The sequence below is a fragment of the Homo sapiens genome, chromosome 4, assembly GCF_000001405.40.
Source record: "Homo sapiens chromosome 4, GRCh38.p14 Primary Assembly".
Lineage (NCBI taxonomy): Eukaryota > Metazoa > Chordata > Mammalia > Primates > Hominidae > Homo > Homo sapiens.
In genome coordinates this window covers 146024546-146035470 of record NC_000004.12, presented here as the reverse complement: position 1 = coordinate 146035470, position 10925 = coordinate 146024546, and the positions used below count along the sequence as shown (strand labels likewise).

Genomic DNA, 10925 nt, shown 5'->3' with positions numbered 1-10925 from the left:
TGCAGTTGTGAATTGTGCTGTTATAAACATGCATGTGCATGTATCTTTTTCGAATAATAACTTCTTTTCCTCTGGGTAGATACCCAGTACTGGGATTGCTGGATCAAATGGTAGTTCTACTTTTCGTTCTTTAAGGAATCTGCACACTGTTTTCCATAATGGCTGTACTAGTTTACATTCCCACCCGCAGTGTAGAAGTGTTCCCTGTTCACCATATCCACGCCAACATCTACTGTTTCTTGATTCTTTGATTATGGCCATTCTTGCAGGAGTAAGGTGGTATCGCATTATGGTTTCAATTTGCATTTCCCTGATCATTAGTGATGTTGAACATTTTTTCATAAGTTTGTTGGCTATTTGTATATCTTCTTTTGAGAATTGTCTATTCATGTCCTTAGCTCACTTTTTGATTAGATTATTTGTTTTTTTCTTACTGATTTGTTTGAGTTTGTTGTAGATTCTGGATATTAGTCCTTTGTCAGATGTATAGATTGTGAAGATTTTCTCCCATTCTGTGGGTTGTCTGTTTACTCTGCTGACTGTTCCTTTTGCCATGCAAAAGCTCTTTAGTTTAATTAGGTCCCAGCTATTTACCTTTGTTTTTATTACATTTGCTTTCGGGTTCTTGGTCATGAAATCCTTGCCTAAGCCATTGTCTAGAAGGGTTTTTCCAATGTTTCTTTTAGAATTTTTATAGTTTCAGGTTTTAGGTTTAAGCCCTTAATCCATCTTGAGTTGATTTTTGTATAAGATGAGAGATAAGGATCCAGTTTCATTCTCCTACATGTGGCTAGCCAATTATCCCAGCACCATTTTTTGAAAAGGGTGTCCTTTCCCCACTTTATGTTTTTGTTTGCTTTGTCAAAGATCAGTTGACTGGAAGTATTTGGGTTTATTTCTGGGTTCTCTATTCTGTTCCATTGGTCTATGTGCCTGTTTTTATACAAGTACCATACTGTTTTGGTGATGATGGCCTTACAGTATAGTTTGAAATCAGGTAGTGTGATGCCTCCAAATTTGTTCTTTTTGCTTAGTCTTGCTTTGGCTAAGCGAGCTCTTTTTTGGTTCCAGATGAATTTTATAATTGTTTTTTCTAATTCTGTGAAGAATGATGGTGGTATTCTGATGGGGATTCTATTGAATTTGTAGATTGCTTTTGGCAGTGTGGTCATTTTCACAATATTGACTCTATCCACCCATGAGCATGGGAAGTGTTTTCATTTGTTTTTGTCATCTATGATTTCTTTCAGCAATGTTTTGTAGTTTTCCTTGTAGAGGTCTTTTGACTCCTTTGTCAGGTACATTCCTAAGTTTTTTTTTTTTTTTTTCTTGCTATTGTAAAGGGAGTTGAGTTCTTGATTTGATTCTCTGCTTGGTTGCTGTTGTTGTATAGAAGAGCTACTGATTTGTGTACATTAATCTTGTATCCAGAAACTTGGCTGAATTCTTTTATCAGTTCTATGAAGGAATCCTTAGGGGTTTCAAGGTAAACAATCATATCATCAGCAAACAGTGACAGTTTGACTTTCTCTTTACAGATTTGGATGCCCTTTATTTCTTTGTCTTGTCTCATTGCTCTTGTTAGGACTTCCAGTACCTACGTTGAAGAGGAGTGTGAGAGTGGCCATCCTTGTCTTGTTCCAGTTCTCAGAGGAAATGCTTTCAACTTTTCCCCATTCAGTATTATGTTGACTATGGGTTTGTCATAGATGGCTTTTATTACATTAAGGTATGTCCCTTGTATGCCAATTTTGCTGAGAGTTTTAATCATAAAGGTTGCTGGATTTTGTCAAATGCTTTTTCTGCATCTGTTGAGATGTTCATGTGATTTTTGTTTTTAATTCTCTTTACATGGTGTATCACATTTATTGACTTGCGTATGTTAAACCATCCCTGCATCCCTGGTATGAAACCCACTTGATCATGATTCCCAGGTCACTGGAGTTGTGTACCAAGGAGGATTATGCCTGCCTCTGCTAAGTCATGCAGGTTGTCAGGGAAGTGGGGAAAACCCAGCAGTCACTGGCCTCACCCAGATCCCATGCAAATTGAAGGGCCGGTCTCACTCTCACTGTGACCTCAACAGCAGCCGGGAGTCTGTTTCCAGGTCAGGGCAAGACGGACTTGGAAATTTGCCCAAGGCTATCTGCTTCCCAGCTGCGAGAGAAAAGGGCTTTAGTTCTCTCCCACCTGTGAAGTCTGCACACCGGATTCACACCCTCCCTTGAGTTCTGGCCAGGAGGCTTCTTGCCCTGTTCAAACTTACAAAGTTCAGCTAGAGAATTCCTTCTCCCCATGGAGTTTTACCCTCTGCTCCTCTAGCCACCCTCCCAGTGGATCCCTATGGTACCAGAGAGGAATGGGCTGCTTGGAGACCCAGAGAGCTCCCAGGGCCTTGCTGCTTCTTCTACCCCTGCATTTTGCTGGGCTCTCTAACTTGACTCAGCTCCAGTTAAGTTGGAAACTTCTCCCACAAACAGACCTTCAGCTTCTCCAGTGGGGGTGTGTGTTCAGGAGAGGAGGGTCTTCCTTTTCCACTTCCGCAGTTGGGGCACTCACAGTATTTGGGGTGTCTCTTAGGTCCTGCGGGAGCAGTCTGCTTCCTTCAGAGGGTTTGTGGGTCCTCTTGGGATTGCAGGTTTATTCTTGCAGTTGATCTGGAGCTAAAATTCACAATGCACGCCTCCACATGCTGCTCTGTTCAGAGCTGCAATCTAGTCCTCTCAGTGAAGGATTTTTCTGACTGCATTCTGAGATCTAGCCTCCTGGCCGGGGCAGCAGGAGGCGGGGTATAGAAAGGCCTGGGAGTCAAGAGCCAGGCTTGCTCTCTTAGTCCTTCCAATCACCACGATGTGACCCGGGCCAACTCTTCCGGTATCCCTGGGCTTCAGTTCCCTCCTCTGTAAAGAGAAGGGTCTTAATTAAGGTCCCTTCCAGTCCTACAAAAGGAAGTTGTAGATCTGTAGTTTCAAAGCTTCTTTCACGATTATGATTTGTGATCAGCTTTGAGGGAAGTAGTGCTAGTGGGTAAACATCAAAGTGTAAGCTTGTTTGCCCAGTTCTAAGCTAGCACCATCACTGACCACAGAGAAAATCACTTCAATGCTCTTAGTTTCCTGATCTGTAAATGCAAACCTTGTTTTCAGATCTGTTGTAAAAATTATGTGAAATAATTAATAAAAATAAAAGTGTATAGATTACAACATACCACAGGCAGGCCAGGCACAGTGGTGCATACCTGTAATCCCAGCACTTTGAGAGGCTGAGGCAGCTGGATCACTTGAGCTCAGGAGCTTGAGACCAGCCTGGCCAACACGGTGGAACCCATCTCTACTAAAAATACAAAAATTAGCCAGGCATAGTGACAGGCACCTGTAGTCCCAGCTACTGAGGAGGCTGAGGCAAAGAATCGCTTGAACTTGAGAGGCAGAGGTGGCAGTCAGCTGAGATTGTGCCATTGCACTCCAGCCTGGGCAACAGAGATTCCGTCTCAAAAATATACATACACATATATATATGTGTGTGAGTGTGTGTGTGTGTGTGTATATATAGTGTATATATACGTGTATATATGTATAAGTGTATATATAATAGACATTTACACATATGTGCACACACACTGTGAAGTTGCATTTTAAAAGAATTTTATTTTCATAAATCTTAATGCATAAAAAAAGTAAAAAAAAAAAATTCTTACCCTGTTGCATGTACTCTCCCTTTCAAACTAGACTCTCTCTATCCTTCAGTGCTCCACAGAGAATGAGACTACAGAGAAATGTAAATAGAAGCAAAAGAAGCTAAATCTTCGTGTTTGAGTTTCTGGGATATATGCAATTTTCTAAGGCAATTCTGTACATGATTTTCTCCTTGTGTGTGCTGACTTGACAGCTTAATTCACACACATAACACACACATACACACACACACATACCTCACACACATACATATACCTTATATACATATACCTTACATAAGTGCTTCACACCTACTATATATATAATCCCTTTTACGGGCATATGGGAATAAAAGCAGAAAATGTGATTCAAAAAATGGAAACCACTCTCATTTTATTTAATTCTTTTAAATTTTGCCATTTAAAACTCATAAATTTCACAAACTATATTTTTAAAATAGACTATTTTTAAAACCTTTAATACTAGTCTAATATATGATCTATTTATATTGCTTTATAGTTTGTCAGCAAATTGTACTTTACACCCACAGGTAAGTGTAGCACTGTTCTGAGCACCAAGAATACATAAGATGGAACAGACACTACCTTATGATCAAGAGGAGACAAGACATATAAACATGTAATTCTCCAAATGTGTACATAAATGCAGTTCTGTAATTAAAGAGTGAATATGAGAGGAGGGAGATTTTCTGGTGGGTTGGTGATGATGGCTATTTTCTTCCCCATGCTATCCTGGCATTTTTTTTCCCCTTCCTTGGGACTGGAATTATAGAATGCAGGGGCAGTTGTTTAGCTTATACATCATGGGCATAAACAAATGGTCATTAATTTAAACATTATGTTAAAGCTAGCCAGAAATAGCTCTTCACAAAAGAGATCAAGTTTATCACTCTCCAAAAAGAAAATGGTAGCTGAGAAAAAAGTTCTGAACTATGTTCAGTTTACACAAAAAACATACTCAGAGTTTTAGAATACGTGGATATTTTAGGGGAAGAAAAGCAGATGCAGCCAAACCCCTATCCTTAATCAAAGGGACAGAGGGTGGAATGTGATCTCTGTTCTAAGCCCATTTTCATTCTTACCCACTTGTGACATGTTGTTGTTGTTTTTTCCCAGCAAACACTCTTATATACGTTACATAACATTCCTAATCACGTTACATATATTAACTGATTTGACTCTCATAATAACCTTATAGGATAAGAACTACTAGTATCATTCCCATTTTATAGATGTAGAAACTGAGGTCCTGAGAGATTCAGTAACTCTCCCAAGCAACTGGGATTCAGCCCCAGGAAGTCTGGCTTCTTAGCCTACATTCTTACTATAAAATTTGCACTGTCTCCTTAGCTTAAGGGTGAACTCTATGCATTTGAACAGCCGAGGGGATGTGGATAGAGTGAGAAAAGAAAGGAAAGGCTTTGAAAGTTATCCTGTTTTTTGAGAATATGAAAAGACAAGAGAAAAAGAAGGAGAGAGCCTGGGATAGCTGTGAGAAGACAATGGAAAAAGTGGAAGAACAGGAAGTGGAAGAAAAAAGCAAAGAGAAATTGACCTTTGCCCTGCTGGGCTCCTTGACGACCAAATCTAATGGCTCAGGGCTGGAGCAGCTAGAACCGGGTGTCTGTGTTTTCAAGCAGCGCATTTAACTTCACGGGGTTTCCCCAGGCTGTCTCTGCAGCAACCCCCACGAGGGCTTCTTTTCACAGCAATTATGAAAGTGATGGTGGGAGGAAGTACTGCTCACTTATTTAGGTTAAAAAGCCACCCAAATAAATGCATTAACCCAGTAGTAAGATTAAATTCCTAGCCCCAAAGGGAAATTTTCAGGAGGTGTCCTTTACCATGTGTAAATTGGAAACAATTTCCTCTCTTGGGCAAGATAACTGCTGTGGGAGGTGGAAATAAATGTAGTGTTTTGTGAAAACTTGGGTTTCTCTGATGAGTTCTGTGAAACACTAACATCTAACAGGAGTTGTTCAAACAGTACATCCTATAACATCTTTTTTTTTTTCCTGTGACCTCAGATCTTAACTTTGGCTTTGCTCTTAAATGACTGTAGGATGGGAATGAGACAGCAGGTTCTTGACAGCTATAGGGAAATGTGTCCCTAAAGAACTTGGTATCAGGAAGGAAAATGAGGTTGTCCTCCAAGAGCTAAACAACAAAATCAATACATATTGTATGGAGCAGAGATGTGCAAAGTCGTCATGTTGAACCTAGTAATCTGATTGAGGAAAATAAAACAACTAAAGGAATAATAGTCAATTTAAGGTACGGTTCGACACCATGAAAGAAGAAAAAGGAGAAGTAAAAGCAGGTATTCCATACATACATTGAGAGTTTGCTAAGCACTGTGCTAAGAGCATGAACAAATTCTGCTCCTGCCTTTATGGGGTTCCAGAGCAAGCTGATGAGTCAATCTAAGAACAGCTCAGGGAAAAAAAATTGCATCTTGGTCAAAGATACCCATCTCCTGGCCAAGAGCAGTGCTTGCCCTTTTGTAGACATTGTTATTCTTCTTCCCATATTTCCACCTCAGGCTCCAGATGAGAGAACTTCCCCCCATCCAACTTGCAGACCATTTTAGGGAACATGTGAACTGACGCATGCTGTCTCTCTGTCCCTCCTTTCATTCTTCTCTCACCAGGGTAAGAGTAGCTAATCTGACTCAAGACAGCATACCAACCACTTGGCTTTACATATCAGAAGGTGGGGTGATGGAGTCGGGGCATTGCTTGTGCACACTCTTTCACCTTCTTTGATTGGCCTGCCCAGTCTCGGGGCCCTCGTACCTCAGCTCCTCAGCAGGCTTCCTTTTGCTTTCCTTCTGCTCCAGTTTCTCATAGTGCATGCAGGCAAGCAAGTCACGTTGGCTCTGCCCTATCTTCAGTCTGGATGAGATATCAAAGGCCAGCATTTTAGCTCAAGCCCAAGTGGAAGTCTCTAGCTCTGAGCACTGGAGCTTTGGGGGCAGAGCCTATCACTCTTATGTCAAAAAGTTCCCTGGGTCTGTTCTTCTCACTGAGAAACTACTGAGGTAAAAGGTAAAGGTTGGTAACCTCACTTCAAGCCATTCTTACCTGATAAAATTAAACCTGTATAGTCACCTACCATCCCCTTTTTAAAATCAACATTCACCAAGCAAACTTTTAATTGCGTTATGAGTTCCCATGGGCTGGTCAGGCTGTGTCACATTTATTGTCATCATAGGTTAATCAGGAGACATTTTGGTTGTCCACACCTCCACTGGATAACATGACCCATATCTGAGATACCAACTCTCAGCTTGTTGACAAACGTGGGTGTCTGAACCTGCAGAGCTAAAGACACGGTTAAAGTCACCAAGTTAATGGAATCCTATGAGTCTTGTGCATGAACAACCAGCTAGTCTTTCCCTTTAATTCCTCAAAACCAATAGCTGCTCTTCTTTGATATGTAAAACTTCCACAAGAACAATCTTGTAAGGTCTTTGAGAGGATTAAAAATAATGCAGGAGAGCACCTAATAGGGTGCCTGACACCCAGTAGACAATAACCATGAAAATTCCTGCTGTTGGTGTTATTTATTGGTACTTTGGAGATAAATATATATGTGTGTGTGTGTGTGTTTGTGTGTGAAATTACTCTTAAAAGGAGTAATAAATAATTACTGTCTATAAGAAGTAGAAGAAATTCTTTCCCAATGTATCTAAAGACAGTGAGGTAGCAGTTAGGCCACAATATTTCTAAAGGCGTAACATTCCCTACCCTTTTATAACTCTTGCAATTACTTGGTCTGAATGGCTCTGTCCAGCCCAACTCCCTAGCTGACCATTCATCTTCCAAATTATACCCAGGTGTCATCTGCTTTAAAGTGCCATGCATTCATGATTTGCCTCAATATCTAATTCTAGCCCTGTGAAGTATGGTTTTAAATCCTGCATGTGAAGGTGTTCATGGTCTGTATGGGTGCACAAGATCAGGGAACCCTCCCAGCTACCTTTTCATTAACTCCTCAGAGGCATTCATTAATGCTCCCAGCAGCAGGGCCTTTAAGTCCTTATGATAAATAACCACAGTAAGAAGTGTACACGCAGTGCACACACATGTGCATATGCATGCACATACACACACATATACACCTATAGAACTGAAACAAAAACCTTACAAAACAATACTTACCCTTAAAATGTAGATTAATTCAAAAGTCTATTTTTTAAATACTAAGACCCACTAAATTGATTTCAAAACCTATTAAAGGCTGAAGCCTGGCTATTTGAAAGGACACTGTAATGAGGACTCTAAACAGAGATCACAAGACCTTGTGTTGTGGACTGAGTCTAGTTTGTGACCATATTTTCATCTTGCAAGTCCTGAGAGTGCTGTATATCTATTGTGATATTTTGCTGTTATTATTGTTGTTTTTGATGTTGTGGCTGACAGATGATTATGAGACGTGGGTTAACTATTGTTTCACATTAGAAACTTATAAAAGTTGGTTTTTAGGAAAAGTATTTTTATTACCCACAACAAAGACTTCTGAGAAACTGGGTATTTTGAGCCTGTCCATAATATGGAGGGAGGAGGAGGAGGAGTGATGATGATGATGATGCTGATGATGGTGATGATTATGCTTTTAGTGTATGAAAGAATCATTGTAAAAGTACAGATACTGCCCACACACCTGGCACCAGATTCAGACCCATGGGAGAGGAGGGATGACACTCTTGCCCACCCAACACTCATTCTCCACAGGTCCACTGACTTGTCACATGGCAGAACGGAGAGCTACCTCAGGCTTCGGGAGGCAGACCCAGGTTATAAACCTGATGACACCATTTCCTATCCCTGCAACCTCAAGCACAGTATCTAATCTCTCTGAGCTTTGGTTCCCTCATCTGTGAAATGGACATAATACCAAATCCATGGACTGTTTGAGAGGATCGAGTGAGATTGCACCATCTGGACATTCATAGATTCATTGTGAGGATCACCTGCCACAGACAATGCAGTGCATTCTCTCCTAAATTCCTTTCAATATTTTGAAGTTTTAACATATGGGTCAGAAACTCAACGGCACTATGAAAGAGAATGAATCTCTATCATATTCCCCTTTTGATCTCAGGAGCTTGGCATTGGATTTATCATAGTCCTTGATTCATGGCACATCCCCATCATTGGTTCATTTATAACCTGCTTTTGCCTATTTGTTTAATTGTTTTTAATAATATCATAAGCACCTAGGTACCCACCACTTCTAACCAAAGGTAAGACCTTGATGATAGCCATTATCATGATGAGTCATGTGATTCCCACACTCTTTTCTTTCTACCCACCTACCTTATCCCCTTGCCTCTCTACTCCCAAAGTAGCCTTCATGTCTTCTCTTTAATTCTTGCAGACTCTATAAAACCTGCTGCCTTGGATGGAGTCCAGTTCAGACCCACACTGAGCTAAACTTTGGCTACATCCTAGGTCACTCCATTAACTATTTAGCCTGGTTCTTTTTTCCTTGGCAGACACATGGGTGGAGGTAGCAAGTATGTTGTGGGGAACAGGGTACTCTAAATGCCCTTACAACCTGAGTTTTTTTAAATCATGCCTTTTCTTCTTGTAGGGCAGCAGGATGGTCTTACTTTTCTTATTTCTCTGGCTGTGTGTTCATTCTATGCCAACCTCAGGAAAACAACATATGGGAGGTGGTGAGGGGAAGAATTCAGCACATGGTATCTTGGTTTAGTTCTCAGAAGCTCAGTAGAAGCTATTCCAAGGAACACTGTCCTTGGCTGAAGTAGGCTCTGTATGTCTACACTGTACTACCAGCTTCTAAAGCCATCATTTCAGCTGAGTGAACTAAGATAGTCAAAAGCTGGCATGGAAACACTTTGTGATGTGATCCTTTTGCTTAAAGGGACAGGAAACCCCTCAGCAGAGATTGCAGAACATTTTATCACCACAAGAGTAAAAACAGAACACCTCTGCTTCTTCACTCTTCTCTTCTCTCGTCCCACTTCTGTTGCTCCTGGGGTTGAAGAATGATTACATAATATCTCTTCTTGGACAGCTAGCTCTTAATTATCCACATTGTGGCATTTTTTGTAATCCTAAATTAAGTTTCTCTGTTACCCTGTACATTACCACAGCACCATCTCCTTTTCTGACCTAGATAGCATATTCTCAAAAACCAGGTGAATACAAACTCTTTATAAAATTAGCTAAGTCAAGTGTGCAAACATACACATTTCAAAGTTGTTCATAAATTTAGGATTATCAGAGCCACCACTCTCCTCTCTCAAGATACTAATAAAATTTTTATTTGAAGACTATTAAACTGTTCCTTAGCTTTTTCTTTTCTAAGATAAATCATCATGGTTTTTTTTATCTGTAGCAAGAATAAGAACCGCTCCACCTCCATTCCACCTCTAGCCCACAGATTACAGGTTCCAATAAACCCTGCTGAAGAACCTGCATTAGTAGACGAAAAATGAATTTCAAAACTTCTGCCAAGAGCTGGGCATAGTGGCTCATGCATATAATCCCAGCATTTTGGGAGGCCGAGGCGGGAGGATTGCTTGAGGCCAGAAGTTTGAGACCAGTCTTAGCAATGTAGTGATACCCCATATAGACAAAAAATGTTAAAAATTAACTGGATGCAGTGGCATGTGCCTATAGTCCTAGCTACTTGGGAGGCTGAGGTTGGATGATCACTTAAGCCCAGGAGGTCAAGGTTACATTGAGCTATAATTGTGCCACTACACTCCAGCCTGGGCAACAGAGCAAGACTGTCTCAAAACAAACAAACAAATAAACGAAAACCTTGTGCCAAGTGTCATCAGAGTTAGATGACACTTTTGTTTAACAAGATACCATTGAGATTCAAAAGTAAGTCCAGACCTGATTTGGAAAGACCTTGAGAATTAAATTTGTCAATATATTTACATAATGAAGTGAGGAAATACAGATAGTGTGTTCTAAAATGAAGGAGAAGAAAAGGAGGTTTCTGGGGGGAGAGAGAAAGAATGGGAAAGAGAGAGAAATTGAGAGAGAAAATGGCAGCAGGCCAGGCCCTGCAGAGAAAGACAACCAATATGAGATACTCCATGGTACAAATCACTGAAGAATTTCAGATGGTGATGTCTAATATGGAACTTCATTTTAAGTTGTACTCTGTTCTCAGCTATGCTAAAATCTCCATGCATCACTCTGAAACTCTTACTGAGCGTGACAGGCTTACACTTAAGTGACTATAC

General features: G+C 40.5%; 2 annotated features.

The window, feature by feature from the left end:
* Positions 2642 to 2691: an enhancer, noted in NCBI's record as "active region_21974". NCBI's record gives its function as "activates an Ori minimal core promoter by ATAC-STARR-seq in GM12878 lymphoblastoid cells {active_cell/tissue: GM12878}" and the evidence as "EXISTENCE:reporter gene assay evidence [ECO:0000049][PMID:35858748]".
* Positions 5025 to 5244: an enhancer, noted in NCBI's record as "active region_21973". NCBI's record gives its function as "activates an Ori minimal core promoter by ATAC-STARR-seq in GM12878 lymphoblastoid cells {active_cell/tissue: GM12878}" and the evidence as "EXISTENCE:reporter gene assay evidence [ECO:0000049][PMID:35858748]".